Source organism: Homo sapiens, chromosome 2 (genome assembly GCF_000001405.40).
Source record: "Homo sapiens chromosome 2, GRCh38.p14 Primary Assembly".
NCBI classification, from domain to species: Eukaryota; Metazoa; Chordata; class Mammalia; order Primates; family Hominidae; genus Homo; species Homo sapiens.
Window position 1 is genome coordinate 26,950,393 of NC_000002.12, and position 16,307 is coordinate 26,966,699.

General features: G+C 44.4%; 1 long non-coding RNA gene across 1 annotated transcript; it reads right to left on the bottom strand.

The window, feature by feature from the left end:
• Positions 1-122: 122 nt before the first annotated feature.
• On the bottom strand, positions 123-14,680 carry LOC124905979 (uncharacterized). The gene is made up of 3 exons (XR_007086251.1): positions 14,607-14,680; positions 4,898-4,942; positions 123-189 (listed from the first exon to the last, which is right to left on the bottom strand). It is a non-coding gene; the product is annotated as an uncharacterized LOC124905979 (long non-coding RNA).
• Between the last annotated feature and the right edge of the window lie 1,627 nt (positions 14,681-16,307).

A 16,307-nucleotide genomic window follows, 5' to 3' on the forward strand; every position in this document is an offset into this window, starting at 1 on the left:
CAGAGATCTCTTCTACGGTGGCTGGGCAAGGCTTCAGTTGCTAAGAAAAGGCAGCTTTGATCTGTCTCTCCTATTGGGTGGCAGCTCACTGGGAGGCTTGTGCAGAGACTGGATTTTTTTTTTTTTTTAATTCTGAGAGACAGGAGCCCCAGTGGTGCCAGATTTCCAGGGACAAGGTTGCCAAATTATCTGAAATAATTAGGAGGAAGAATTAGATGCAAAAGGGAAAAAAACTAGACTCACTCCATCTACCTATAGTCGCGTATTCTCTTGGCTACCATTTTGGAAGCCCATAGCCACCTCTCCACTCGGCAGAACGTTTGGCTGATGGAACGATGGCCTCATAAAAAAAAAAAATCACAAGACAAAGCGCTGTCCCAAGGCCAATATGCCTTTGAAGGACCTTCCAGCTGCTCTCCGGCTGTCTAGAACCCCGCTTTTGGAGTTGGCCCTCTGTAGTCTCAACCCCATCCATTGCATTGAGACCCCTCTACCTTCCCTCTAGAGCTCAGTCAGATGTTAGGAGGATTATCTGATTAAACTCTTTCACACTAAAGGGTAAAACTGTGGCTTCTAAGGCCGGGTGCTGTGGCTCATGCCTGTGATCCCAGCACTTTGGGAGGCCGAAGCGGGTGGATCACCTAAGGTCAGGAGTTTCAGACCAGCCTGACCAACATGGAGAAACCCCGTCTCTACTAAAAAAAATACAAAATTAGCCAGGTGTGGTGGTGCATGCCTGTAATCCCAGGTACTCAGGAGGCTGAGGCAGGAGAATCGCTTGAACCCGGGAGGCGGAGGTTGCAGTGAGCCAAGATCGCGCCATTACACTCCAGCCTGGGCAACAAGAGTGAAGCTCTGTCTCAAAAAAAATAAAAATAAAAATAAACTGTGGCTTCTAGTACTATGTGGTCACTGTACTTATTTCTTAACATTAAAATTCGAAGGTTGAGATGGATTTGCCAGCTTGAGATGGATGCCGAGTCCCTGCAATGTATTGGGCCAAAGTGTCTGTTACCCTGTTTTCCCACAACAGGAGAGCACACCAGAATTGGGTTAACTGCCAAAAATCCATTGGGTTTGGATGAAAAAAATAATATGACCACACATTTGGCACAAGGCGTCTATCAGGCAGTCTACAGGGAAAAAATAAAAGATACCCAGGAAGACATAGGGTGCCTTTTTATGTATGTAGTTGTAGAAAAATCAAAGACCACAGACTCAGACTTTAAAATAAGGCTTGATCATTTATGAGAATCCGGATTTGGAGAAACCACACCAGTCAGCAGCTAGGCAGCCACCAGCCTCTATTTTCTAACTCAGAATTACAGACTGACCTCTGTACACCGGTAGAGACTAACGCTAAGAATTGCATTGTGGTCGGCCAGTCACAGTGGCTCACGCCTGTAATCCTAGCACTTTGGGAGGCCAAGGCGGGAGGATTGCCTGAGCTCAGGAGTTCAAGACCAGCCTGCGCAACACAGTGAAACCCAGTCTCTATTAAAATACAAAAAATTAGCCGAGCGTGGCGGTGGGATCACACCACTGCACTCCAGCCTGGGCGACAAAGCGAGACTGTCTCAAAAAAAAAAAAAAAATTGCTTTTTAGTCAGTGGAAGACACAGGGTCTCATGACACCCAGGTGTGAAGAAGAAACCTCATGATATGTAGGGGCTGGTAGACCTTAGAGTCCTAAGTTAATAACAGGCTATTTGACAGTGTTGTAACAACAGACATTTGAAAGGGCTCTTAGAGCTTTCCCAGTAGAACAGTAAAGGATCTGGCATTTTGCTGACACTGGGTACTGTCTTATGATGGAAAGTGAGTTCTTTACTTTCCCTTCTGGATTTACAACCATACATTTAGAACTAGAGGGACCAGATGTCTTGGTTTGCTCAGGGCAATCCTGGTTTAAGTCTATTGCCCCAGAATAATTATTAACAGTGTCCACTTTCACTGTCAAACATGTCCTGGTTTGTATAATAAATTACATGGTCACTTTCTGTATACCTATACATTCATTGGGCTATTACTGTGCCTGTCCAGGAGTTAAAAATTTTTCCATTGCTGAAAGACAAGACATGGCATTGTAAGAGATGCGGAAGATGGGTCCTTCCACAGTGGGTGGTGACTTAGGGGTTTGCATGACAAGCCCAGCGTCTTCACACAGCTCTTGGAGGCTTGATGAGTCTCAGTAGCCGGGGATGCCACAGGGTGGGGAAGGCCTGCAAATGCTTTTCTAAGCTTTTTCAGTTTGCCTCGTAGACCTCATTGTTCCATTAGAAGCTGTAACCCTACCAAATTCTATCATTTGCTTTTAAGGTGACTTTGATTCCATTTATGAACTTGAACACCTTACAACATTTTCAACTACATTTAAAATTTGATTTCCCTTTTAAATACCTTTCCTAAGTACCAAATAATTATTACCAATCTAATAAATTAAACTTATAAATATACTGAGTTTCACACTTTATTAGTTGTTTTGATGCTAAGAATAAACAATATTTCAACCTAAAATTAGAAGTTTTAAGTTACACTTTTTTTTTTTTTTTTTTTTTTTTTTTTGAGACAGAGTCTTGCTCTGTCTGTCATCCAGGCTGGAGTGCAGTGGAGGATCTCGGCTCACTGCAACCTCCGCCTCCTGGGTTCAAGCAATTCTCCTGCCTCAACCTCCCAAGTAGCTGGGATTACAGGCACCTACCACCACGCCCAGCTAGTTTTTGTATTTTCAGTTGAGATGAGGTTTCACCATGTTGTCCAGGCTGGTCTTGAACTCCTGACCGCGTGATCTGCCCGCCTCAGCCTCCCAAAGTGCTGGGATTACAGGTGTGCACCACTGCGCTTGGCCAAGTTACACATTTTAAGTTAATTATGAGATGCTCACTTTAATAGCCCAAAAAGTTCTCATAGAAATAAATAAAATACCAAATATGCCCAGATTTCCAATTAATACAAAAATTTTGACACTATGGGCTTGGTTCTTTAAAAACTTTTATTTTCTTAATTCTATACCTCCTGCCAGTTATAAGCTCTCACTGGGCTTTAGCTTTGAGTCTTTTCTTTTTTATTTTATTTATTTATTTTTTGAGACAGAGTCTTGCTCTGTCACCCAGACTGGAGTGCAGTGATGCAATTACAGCTCACTGTGGCCTCGACCTCCAGGCTCAGGTAATCCTACCACCTCAGCCTCTAGAGTACCTGGGATCACAGGTGTGCACCACTGCACCTGGCTAATTTTTGTATTTTTTGTAGAGACTGGGTTTCCCTATGTTGCCCAGGCTGGTCTCAAACTCCTGGGCTCAGGCTATCCACCAGTCTCCCAAAGTGCTAGGATTACAGGTGTGACCCACCACGCCTGGCCTCAAGTCTTTTCTTGATGACAAGTCAACTCCTAGAGGGTGCAAGGAAGGTCTGCTTACCAGCTCCACTCCAATCTCAAATTTCCAGTGCACCTAATTTTCACTTTACCACTACCTGGTCATCTACAATAACTGAATGCACAGTTATTAGTGCAATGTGTGTATATATCACTTCTAGCCCAGTGAGTTCTGCCTCCTTTAAAAATGTTTAAATAAATTAGATCCTTTGTATTTTAAGGTTTCCTTACATTTAAAGCAACACATTCTATCCCTGTGTAGCTTTTTTTAAATTGACTATTTTTTAGAAAAGTCTGATTTACAGCTGCACAGATAGTGCGGAGTTTCCATCTACTCCACACCCGGCCTCCCCTATTACTAACATCCTACATTAGCATGTTAAAATCAGTGAGCCAACACTGATACATTATCATTAATTAAAGTCCATGCCTATTCAGATTTCCTAAGTTTTTATCGAATGTCCCTTTTCTGATCCAGGATCTCCTCCAGGACACCACATTACATTTAGTTGTCATGTCTCCTGAGGCTCTGTGGACTGTGACAGTTTCTCAGACTTCCCTTGTTTTTGATGACCTTGACAAGTTTTGAGAAATATTGTTCAGAGATTTTATAGAATACTCTCTACTGGAATTTGTCTGTTGTTTTTCTAAATGGTTAGGCTGGTGTTAAGAGTTTTTAAAAGGAAGACCATAAAAGCAAGGTGCCGTTTTCCTCACGTCGCATCAAGGGTATATACTATGAAAATGACCTATTACTGATGATGTTGACTTTGATCACCTGGCTAAAGTCGGATCTACCTTTTCAAATTTATATGGTTCCCTTTTATGAGCTAAAAGCTTCTCTTTTTACAGTATGTGACTTCTTTAAGCAACTAAATATGGTTTGTATTGCTATACTAAGTTTTTCCGGTGTTTGCTAGATGATTCTCGCAGTTAGGAATTTTTTGAAATTCAGTATCAGTTGTAAGACTTTTGGCCAGACGTGGTGGCTCACACCTGTAATCCCAGCACTTTGGGAGGCCAAGGTGGGCAGATCACTTGAGGTCAGGAGTTGAAGACCAGCCTGGCTAACATGGTGAAACCCTGTCTCCACTAAAAATACAAAAAAATTATCTGGGTATGGTGGTGCAAACCTGTAATCCCAGCTACCTGGGAGGCTGAGGTGGGAGGATCGCTTGAACCCAGGAGGAAGAGGCTGCAATGAGCGGAGATTGCGCCACTGCACTCCAGCCTGGGTAACAGAGTGAGACTCCGCCTAAAAAAAAAGAAAAAAAAAAAGACTATTTGCCTGTGGGGCACAAAGACACAAAGATAGCAGTAACAAGAAATATTCACATAAATACGAGCTCTTGAGGTTTTATCTGAAATCCTCTTGACTCATGGGTCAAAATTTAAGCTTTAATTTAGGGATTTACACACACACACACACACACACACGCATTTACATGCAGACACACAGAGAGGCTCAGTTTAACTACATAACCAACTTTGTGAAGCCTTTGAATAACAAGTGTCCATTACCTTAAAGCTATTTAAGTCCAAACTTCCAAAATCCAATCTGAAATTCTAGGAAAAGAAAAACAGAGACTAACCAGGTAAAATTAATAAGCAACTGTTAAGAAAGTATAATTTATTATTTTAATGCTATCCAGAAAGCTGTTGAAGCTTTCTATTGATTTACATAACTTCAGATTATGTGAGTTTTATTGAACAAATTGATAAAGCACACATTTTTCCAACTGTGATGCATTTCAGTAGCAATATCCTATACTGCTATCAAAATCCCACATTTGACATCACATTTACAAAAAGCTTTAGCTATTAGCTTTAGTGCAGAAACTCAAATTTTTTTTCCTTTTGGAATATTTCTAGCCATGAAACTCAAATTCTCATTGAAATCATTTATGCAATATCCAAAATTCCTGATTTCACATTCTGCATTAATTTATCACCTCGAGGGGGAAAAAAGATCGCTTCACACTGAAAACAGTTGCTTACAATTATGCATATTTAAATTTCATCATCTGCTCAGTGCCTCTTGCTTTATTGGAATTTTTTTTCTTTTGGATACAGGGTCTGCCACTGTTACCCAGGCTGGAGTGCAGTGGTGCAATCACCTCTCACTGCAGCCCCGACCTTCTGGGCTCAGTCGATCCTCCCGCCTCAGCTTCCAGAGTAGCTGGGACCACAGGCATGCACCATCACTCCCAGCTAATTTTTCAATTTTATAGTAGAGACAGGGTCTCCCTATGTTGCCCAAGCTGGTCTAGAACTCCCATGCTCAAGCGATCCTCCCGCCTTGGCCTCCCAAAGTGTTGGGATTACAGGCGTGAGCCACTATGCCTCATTTTACTGGAATTCTTGATTTTAAAATATCCTCTGGGCCGGGCGCAGTGGCTCATGCCTGTAATCTCAGCACTTTGGGAGGCTGAGACGGGCGGATCACGAGGTCAGGAGTTCCAGACCAGCCTGGCCAACATAGTGAAACCCCGTCTCTACTAAAAATACAAAAATTAGCCAGCCGTGGTGGCACACGCCTGTAGTCCCAGCTACTCAGGAGGCTGAGGTGGGAGAATCGATGGAACCCAGGAGGCGGAGGTTGCAGTGAGCTGAGACCATGCCATTGCACTCCAGCCTAGTGACAGAGTGAACACCGTCTCAAAAAAAAAATCCTCTGAAGTTTTACAGTCTAAGTTTACCCTGAAGAGAGTTATTGTCTTTTGATCAGTCCCCAATGATGCCAAGTTTCAAGACACTGCAGGGGTTAATTTCAGTAAAATAGACTGCCCCCGGGGATAGACTTTGATTCCTTTACTGCTGAGGAATCAGAGCTGCTGGAGAACAACTTCTCTTGGGGAGGACGGTGGGCATTTTGAGTCCTAAAGGGAAGGAAACTTCAGTGGCAGTGCTTTGACGGCCCCTTCCCATCTTGCACGCATCTGACAGAAGGGTTCCTGGCGTGCACAGAAGAGGAAAGCTGGAGGCTCCATCACTGGTATTTTAGGACTAGCCACCACATGTGGGAGTTGCTGAGGCTTCTTCAAACTTCAATTTTCCAGCAGCCAGGCTTTCTTTCTTTCTTTCTTTCTTTTTTTTTTTTTTTGACGGAGTCTCTCTCTGTCGCCCAGGCTGGAGTGCAGCGGCATGATCTCCGCTCACCGCAACCTCCGCCTCCTGGGTTCAAGCAATTCTCCTGCCTCAGCCTCCCGAGTAGCTGGGACTACAGGCATGTGCCACCTCGCCCGGCTAATTTTTAGTAGAGACGGGGTTTCCCCATGTTAGCCAGGATGGTCTCAAACTCCTGACCTCAAGCAATCCACCTGTCTCGGCCTCCCAAAGTACTGGGATTACAGGCATGAGCCACCACCCCCAGCCAATACATGTCTTTTACCACAATAAAAGAATTATATTATAAAAATTGACCATTTACTAAACCACAAAGCAGGTTTCAAAAAATTCCAAAGTATTAATATTTCACAGACTTTGTTCTCTGCTCGCATTGCAATGAAATTAGACATAAACCACAACATCAAGAAACCATTAAGGAAAAATACAAGTAAATTGTGACGTGTTTATACAAAATAGAAATATTTTCATACAAAACATAAAATGTGTGGTATCTAGCTAATGTCATTTAGAGTTAAACTTAGAGCTTTATGCACTTTTCAAACAAAACAAATGTAAAATCAATGAGTAGATTAATGGTTATATGTGGCAAATTAACACACCTATTTCTCTATATTCCCTCTCAAATCCTCACCAAAGTGACATTTAAAAAGAAGGGTTAAGCCACATGGGAAAAGATAATGGGAAATGAGATTATGGCTTATGAGGGATATCAACAAAATTTGGAAGGTATAAAATAAATGGATGAGCGGGTGCAGCGTGGAGGAAGCTGAAATGACTGCCTGCCATGAAGGCAACCAATGAGAAGCCATTTAGCTCCCCAGAGCCCAATAAAGAATCCCCAGTAGCAGCTCCTGGGATCTCCAAAGGCCAGAGAGTGAAATCAGGATGACGGGCTAAAATTCTCTGAGAGGAGCAGTTAGACCCATAGATCCTCCAGCTCCTGCAAGCAACTGTCCCACTCTCTTTCAGGCTGCCAAGGGGAGAGGATGAATTTAGGTGGATTTAGAGAAGGACAGAACACTGAACAGTGACATCAGCCTATTCCCAGCCTCCTTCCCATGCCGTCTACCATAACCAATACAGAGAACTGTATTTCCCCAGGCAAGAAATCTGAGGATCCCTCTCTAGGCAAGCTAACTGGCATGAAGAGAAAATACTTACATTCTGATATTTGAGGGATCCGGTAGTAATTTGGCCAGTTCCCATGCAATCCTTCTATGGTGAGACACCTCAACCCACATGCCCCACGCATGAGTTTCAATCTTTCAGTTAGCCGGTTTGCGTCTTACTCTTAAAGATGAAGAAAACCTCCAAAAAGATAGACAGTCCAGCCAGCCAGGCGCAATGACTCAGGCCTGTAATCCCAGCACTTTGGGAGGCTGAGGTGGGTGGATTTTGTGAGTCCAGGAGTTTGAGACCAGCCTGGGCAACATGGAAAAACACTGTCTCCATAAATAAATAAATAAAATATTTAAAATTACCCAAGTGTGGTGGCATGTGCCTATAGTCCAAGCTACTCAGGAGGCTAAGGTGGGAGATCACCTAAGCCTGGGAGACGGAGGTTGCAGTGAGCCAAGATCATATCACTGCACTCTGGGCAACAGAGTGAGACTCTGTCTCAAAAAAAAAAAAAAAAAAAAAAAAAACAACCCAAAACAAACATAAGAACAAAGTATCTCAGAGGAAACACGACTCAAGGAGTAAATGAAAATTCTAAAGATAAAGAGAATAGATTCATTAAAAGACAAAAGGAAAACAGGAAAGACAAGAAAATTAGATGATCAGTCTAACAGGAATTCCAGAAATAAGAGCACAGAAAAAACAAAGCAAGGGAGTTTATCAAAGAAATAATAAAAGAAAATTTCCCAAACTAAAAAATATGCATTTCCAGATTGAAGAGACATCATCATGAAATTTCTGAACAACAGAGATGATGCTTCAAGAGCCAGCAAGAGACAAAAATACTAGCTGCATACAAGAATTGGAAATTGAATGTCACTCAATTTGTCAACAGAAATACTAGAAGATGGAAGATCATGGAGCAGATTTTCTAAATTCTGAGAAAAATAATTTCTAACCTAGGATTCTGTACCCAGCCAAACTTTCAACCAACTGTTAAGGTATTATAGAAGAAAGTCATTTTCAGACATGCAAGATTGAAAAGATTGACCTTCCTTGGAACCTATTAGAGAGTCCATTTGAGAGTGTGCTCCACCAAAATGAATAATAAAAAGACATGGGCCAGGCACGGTGGCTCACGCCTATAATCCCAACACTTTGGGAGGCCGAGGCAGGTGGGTCACTTGAGGTCAGGAGTTCAAGACCAGCCTGGCCAACATGGTAAAACCCCGTCTCTACTAAAAATACAAAACTTAGCTGGAAGTGGTGGCATGTGCCTGTAGTCCCAGCTACTTGGGAGGCTGAGGCACGAGGATCGCTTGAGCCTGGGAGGCAGAGGCTGCAGTGAGCTGAGATCCTGCCACTCACTCCAGCCTGGGTGACACAGAGCGAGACCCTGTCTCAAAAAAAAAAAAAAAACAAGACATGGGATGAAGGAAATAGGACATTCAGCATAAGCAAGAAAATAAGGAAGTTCCAGAATGGTGGTAGAGGAAGTTGTTCTCTAAGCTGCTGCACAGCTGGTCCAGAATGGAACAGTCCTGAGAAAATCCTGCCCAGCAGGCTAGAATAGCCACCTGCCCTCAGTATTTGCCTGTTTGTAACAAAAAGCTATAAATGCTCAGCTGAAAGAGGTTCTTGGGAATGGCAGAACAACCAAAAGTTTGCCCTGGCTCTTGATAAAGAGCTGAAGAAGAAAAGATTTGCAAGAAGAATGAAATCATGGCTTTTCTGAGTTTGCAGATTTCTTGCACACATCTAATTAAACCTCTGCAGAAATTTCTACCACATCCCTAACCAATCATCTAACTCAGGACGCAGGATGTTTAGCCCAGTGACGGCGTGCCTTCAGCAGGCATATATCACACTCCCCGCAAGTTCTATTTATTCAGTATCATTTCCTTAACTGAAACTAAATTATCTATCTTCAGCTTGTGCCCCTTTATCCTAACTCTTCCTATGAAGGCACACAGAACAATCTTATTCATAAACAGCTCTTCCAATTTCACACATTATTGCAGTCTTTACTTCTGCCCACTACATTCATGCTTTCAGGGTTGTTCTCAGAGTTTAGCATGAATCAGAATCACCTGGAGGACTTGTTTAAGCCCAGCTTGCTAAGCGCCACACCAAAGTTTCTGATTCAGTAGTTTTGATGTGGGGCCTAAGAACTTGCTTTTTTTTTTTTTGAGATGGAATCTCATTCTGTCCCCCAGGCTGGAGTGCAGTGGCACAATCTGGGCTCACTGCAACCTTCGACTCCTGGCTTCAAGCGATTCTCCTGCCTCAACCTCCTGAGTAGCTGGGATTACAGGCACCTACCACTGTGCCCAGCTAATTTTTGTGTTTTTAGTAGAGACGAGATTTCACCGTGTTGGCCAGGCTGGTCTCGAACACATGGCTTCAAGTGATCCGCCCACCTCAGCCTCCCAAAGTGCTGGGATTACGGGTGTGAGCCACCGCTCCCGGCCACCATCCTTATCTTAAAATGTGGCACCAACCCTCCAGAATGGAGTTTTCTGACTGAAGGTGCCCAGAGAGAGTGCTCACCCATGCAGAGGAAAGGACCAAAGGGGCTTTGCAGAAGCAAAGACAATGCCCCGCTAGCTCTTGATAACCTGAGCAGCTGATGAACTCAGCATGTGCCCAGGAGTCCCCTCAGGACTTCCGGAGAGCAGCTGGGGCACCTTCCCTCCGTAGCGCGTTACATCCAGGACAGTCAAGAATCCCAGCCAGCCTGTTAGGTGACCGACGCAGGCCCTCGCTGAGCAGCAAGCAGAACTGCTGCCCTTGCCTGGGTTCTCCAAGAGCCTGGGATCCTCCCCGGCCCTCAGACAGCCTCTTCCCCCACAGAGCAAGGCGTTTCGGGGGCTGTGAGGTGAGTTTCCTGAGAGTGAGTGAAAGGAGCGACTTTGGGGATTAACTGTCTTGGACACATCTTCCCTCCAGACGTCTACTTCCCAACCTCTCAATCTTTTTTGCCTCCCTTCCACACTCATTGTTGCGTCCCTTAAATTTATTTCATCGTTTTGTTTTTCTGGATTACCTGCCACAGCCTTTCTGTTCATCTCTCCACAGTCAGACCCGGGATCTGAACCCTGAGCTGACAGAGATGCTGAGAATCTGGCCTTCTGCTGCTCCGAAAGGATTGGGGATGTGGCAGGCCATGCCCGCTTGGGAGGTCAGTTCACCAGGAGCGACTGTCCTCAGTGCCTGTGCCCCCAGACTGAGGAAGAAGGAGATGCTAAGGGTAGCCTTTCATATCACATACAAAGAGCCTGGGAAGATGAGATGGAGGTGAGGAGGAGAGGCATTCAATCCAGAGGGAAAAGGGAAGTAATGCTTATTAAACGCCTACTGTATGCTAAGTACTTTGCTATACACGTATGTGTTACTGATTTAAGGTTGGAGTGGGGCTGAAATTCCCTGTAACTATTGGCCCATGGGATTAAAGACTGTTCTGTCTTGGAAGATAATCATGACTGATGAGCCTCTGAGGACGGAGGGTGAAGATTTTTAAAACTACCCTCAAGCATGAGCCCTAATACCCTCAGCCAACCCAGGTTATGGTGCTTCTCCTAAGGCCATGAATTCCAGCCTGGGGAAGAGCTGGGAACAGCTGGAGAGGCAGAGGATTCCAGGAACGTGAAGCCCTAGCCAGTAACCTCCTGTGGAGAGTGACTTCACCCCCAGGCGGCCAGAGCAGCAGCTGCTGAAAACCGAAAATGCCAGGAAGATCCATCTTCCCCTGCCCCTGGCCACCTCCAGGCTGGCTTCCTCTTCTGCGTGGTCTCTGTCTGGTTTGGCATTTCTCTGCTCCCCAAGTCCTGGATCTTGTGGGATGGCCCGTGGCCACTGTACTACCTGTAAAGGCCTCCAGATGGCGCTTTCAGCTCATCAGTGGTCGCTGCTTTGGCTTACGATGTGAACAGATAAAGCTGAAGGAATGGCAGGTGTGTCCAGGTTACCAGGCCCCAATCCCTGCCCCCAGAGCAGCTCAGGCTCCTCTGCCTCGAGTGCGAGTGAGTGGCCATAGCAGCCTTCTCCCGTCTGGAGCTCCCTGGAGGAAGCTGTCCCTTTCAAGACCAATCTCAGAATTTAGGATAAGGTTGCCAGATACAGCAAATACAAACACAGAATGCCGGGCCAGGCGCGGTGGCTCACGCCTGTAATCCCAGCACTTTGGGAGGCCGAGGCGGGCGGATCACAAGGTCAGGAGATGGAGACCATCCTGGCTAACACGGTGAAACCCCGTCTCTACTAAAAATACAAAAAATTAGCTGGGCGTGGTGGCGGGCGCCTGTAGTCCCAGCTACTCGGGAGACTGAGGCAGGAGAATGGCGTGAACCCGGGAGGCGGAGCTTGCAGTGAGCCGAGATCGTGCCACTGCACTCCAGCCTGGGCGACTGAGCAAGATTCCATCCCATAAAAAAAAAACAAAACAAAACAAAAAAAACAGAATGCCCAGTTAAATGTAAATTTCAGATAAAAAATAATTTTTTAGTTTATGTCCGAATAATGTCTGTGTCATACTTATGCTAAAAATTATTTTTTGTTTTTTTGAAATTCAAATTTAACTAAAGTGTCTTGTCTTTATGTGGCAATTCTAGTTTAGGTTTATTTACAGGAGTTCTCCACCTTCTGTCTAATCCATGCTTATAGAACATCTACCAGGCATGTGTGAGACATGACAACAGGAAGCAAGTGTAGCTCCTGCATTTAGAGGTGAGTTTGAAAAAAGACATGTTGACACACAAGAAAATGTAGGAAGCATGGGATAGTGGAAGAAGTCTGGATTTTGGTGTTGACTTTAAGTTCAAGCTCCACTTCTGATGTTCACTAGCTGTGTTATCTTAGGTAAGTTATTAACCTCTCTGGGCCTCTGTTGTTTATGTGTGGAAATAAGAATAATACCAACCTCTGGCTGGGCGTGGTGGCTCACACCTGTAATCCCAGCACTTTGGGAGGCCGAGGCAGGTGGATCACCTGAGGTCAGGTGTTCAAGACCAGCCTGGCCAATATGGTGAAACCTCTTCTCTACAAAAAAATACAAAAATTAGCCGGGTGTGGTGGTGGGCGCCTGTAATCCCAGCTACTCGGGAGTTTGAGGCAGGAGAATAGCTTGAACCCAGGAGGCAGAGGTTGCAGTGAGCCGAGATCGCACCACTGCACTCTAGCCTGGGCAACAGAGCAAGACTCCATCTCAAAAAATAAAAAAAGGAAGGAATAATACTAACCTCAGAAGGTGACCAAGGAGGTTATAAGAAATTGTATGTATCTCATGCCTGGCTGCCATAGGATCTGAATATATGCTAGTTTTATAAAATAACTACCAGGCCAGGCACGGTGGCTCACGCCTGTAATCCCGCACTTTGAGAGGCCAAGGAGGGCAGATCACCTGAAGCCAGGAGTTCGAGACCAGCCTGACTAACATGGTGAAACCCCGTCTCTACTATTTTTGTAAAAATACAAAAAAGCCGGGCATGGTGGCATGCGCCTGTAATCCCAGCTACTAAGGAGGCTGAGGCAGGAGAATCGCTTGAAGCTAGGAGGCGGAGGTTGCAGTGAGCTGAGATGGTGCCATTGCACTCCATCCTGAGCGACAGAATGAGACTCTGTCTCAAATAATAATAATAATAATAATAATAATAATATATAATTATCATGAGAAAGAGACAACTAAAAGTGTCAGCCATGGTAACAATTAACTTTACCTCCTTTGGGAGACTGTCTACAATGAATGTAACACTTCACTTTTATTTTATTATATTATTATTATTATTATTTGAGATGGGGTCTCACTGTGTTGAACAGGTTGGTCTTAAACTCCTGACCTCAAGCGATCCTCCAATCTCAGCCTCCCAAAATGCTGGGATTACAGGCGTAAGCTGCTGCACCTGGCCCACACTTCACTTTTAAATAGAAATAATAGCTAATACCATGTATTGAATGCCCACACCATTGCCCTAAGTATCTAATAAACATGATCTCATTTAATCCTTATATTAACTCTCCAAGGTATTTACTATTATTGTCCCCAATTTACAGATGGAGAAACTGAGTTAAATAGCTTGCCACAGAGCAAGTAAGTGGTAGATTTAGTGTGTTCACTCGAGTCCAACTCCCCAACCAATGTTCCTAACCTCTATCTTACACTACCTTTGCATGGATTGGCCCTTGAAGTTTGAGTTGGTGACCACTATGAAGAGAAGCACAGATTGTGGCTACAGAGCATCTGGAACAGCAGATGGAGATGCAGAAGCTGGGAGGGGTGAAAGAATAGTTCTGGGGCCCTGAGTTGCTCGGCATTCTGGAAACAGCAGGTCATTAATGTTCACAGGTGTGTCTTAAGACCTTTGCAAGTTCTCAGTTTCCACACTAGCTTCTATATAGAAGGTATAACTGGGGCGGAGAGGGGGGATCAAGTAGTGATCCTACTGAATGACCCTTACGAAAGTTTTGTTAGTGTTGATAGTCACCATTTATTGGATATTTATCCATCAGGCAGTGCCAGGCATTTTTCACACATTATCTCATTTAACCATCACAACTACAGATGAGAAAAACCAAGGCCAAGGTCACATAGCTAGGAAGTGTTGGACCCAGTGCTTGTGTAACTCCAGCAGGGAGGAGGGTTGATGCACTCTCTAAATAAGGGCTCATTCATTTCAAGGCATGTAATTAAAATTCATTCCTCAGCAAAATTGTGTATGACTTACATAGGTCTCTTGTAAACATTCAAAACCATGTCAAAGGTTTCCTGTATTGTGGGAATCAGTCTTATTTCAGTGCCCTGTTCCACTTCTAGCTAGTTTCAAATGAATAATGAATGCAGTTGGTAACAATTACCAACTTTACAGCACCTTCCTGTCTCCACCTCACAGCCGGGGCAGGGCAGGCTTGCTTGCTCCAATCTAAACTCTAGCCCCGCAACTCACAGAGTTAATCCACCCTCTTAGACTCCTCTGGTTTGCCCACTTACCTTGGGGAAAGTGCAGAAGGATCAGATTTTTTTCAACTTGCTTGGGTGATTTTACTCCAAGATGTTAAGAATGCAAAGTACAAGGTGCTAAGAATACAAAGGTAGATAAGATATGGTCTTTGAGTGTGAGGCCCTCCTATGGGGAAACATGGGGATAAGCATAATAACTGAAGGCAAAGGGGAACCATAACAAAGAATGGACCCGGTACCAAGGAGAAAGAGCAAGTAGGGGCCGGACGCGGTGGCTCACGCCTGTAATCCCAGCACTTTGGGAGGCTGAGGCGGGAGGATCACGAGGTCAGGAGTTTAAGACCATCCTAACCAATATGGTGAAAGCCCATCTCTACCAAAAATATAAAAATTAGCCGGGCGTGGTGGTGCACACCTGTAGTCCCAGCTACTCGGGAGGCTGAAGCAGGAGAATCGCTCGAACCCAGGAGGTGGAGGTTGCAGTGAGCCAAGATTGTGCCACTGCACTCCAGCCTGGGCGACAGAGCGAGACTCTGTCTCAAAAAGAAAAAAGAAAAAAGAAAGAGCAAGTCGGTTCTCTGGGGGAGGCCCATGACCATGCCACCAAGTTGGTGACACAAAAGCTGGTCTTGGAGAATGAGTCCAAGTTTGCCTGATGAAGGGAAAGGAAGGGCAACCCTGCAAGGCAGGCTCAGCCACAAAACAAAACCACTTGCTTGGCCAACTGCAAGAACTATAAAAGTTGGAGTAGGGGATAGGGTACAAAAGGAGTAGAAGGTGAAGGGGAAATGGTTGGTAGGGGCCAGATTGTAGTAGAGCTTGTCCACCATGTGAAGATGTCTGAAGTTTTATATCCTTTAAGCCAATGTTTCTCAAACTTTTCCACTTAAAGTACCCCAAGGCAGTGGATAACACAGGCATGGGAATAGAGGGCAGCCCATGTTGAGCTCAAACTCTCTTTAAAGGTCTTGTCTTTGAAATCATGTGATTCTTATATTCTACTCCATCTTATGTCTGTTTGTTTTAATATAAAAATGTTTACCTTAATAAATAAATAAAAATACATTTAAAATTAAAATAAGATAAATATTTTCTGAATCTCTAAATAAAATTTAAAGATTACGTTTAAAGATGTATTTATTATAAATAAAATTCAAGAGGTCAGGCCTGGTGGCTGACACCTGTTATCCAGTGTTTTTCGAGACCCAGACAGGAGGGTCGCTTGAGCCCAGGAGTTCAAGGGTGCAGTGAGCCATGATCACACCACTGCACTCCAGCCTGGGCAACAGAGCAAGACCCTACTTCAAAAAAACAAATGAGGGCCAGGCACAGTGGCTCGTGCCTGTAATCCCAGCACTTTGGGAGGCCAAGGTGGGAGGATAACTTGAGGTCAGGAATTCGAGACCAGCCTGGCCAACATGGTGAAACCCCATCTCTACCAAAAAATACAAAAATTAGCTGGGCGTGGTGGCTCACACATGTAGTCACAGTTACTTGGGAGGCTGAGGTGGGAAAATTGCTTGAACTCGGGAGGCAGAGGCTGCAGTGAGCCAAGATCGCACCACTGCATGACAGCCTGGGTCAAAAAAAAAAAAAAAATGAGGAAGATAATCTATTCTATATTTCTTCCGCCCTGTTTCCTTACATGAATCCCCCATCCCGGAAGTTGCTTCAGCAGGTCTGAGGACAGCCATAGGGATTTAAGCAGGATAGTTATGTGATAAGATTTAT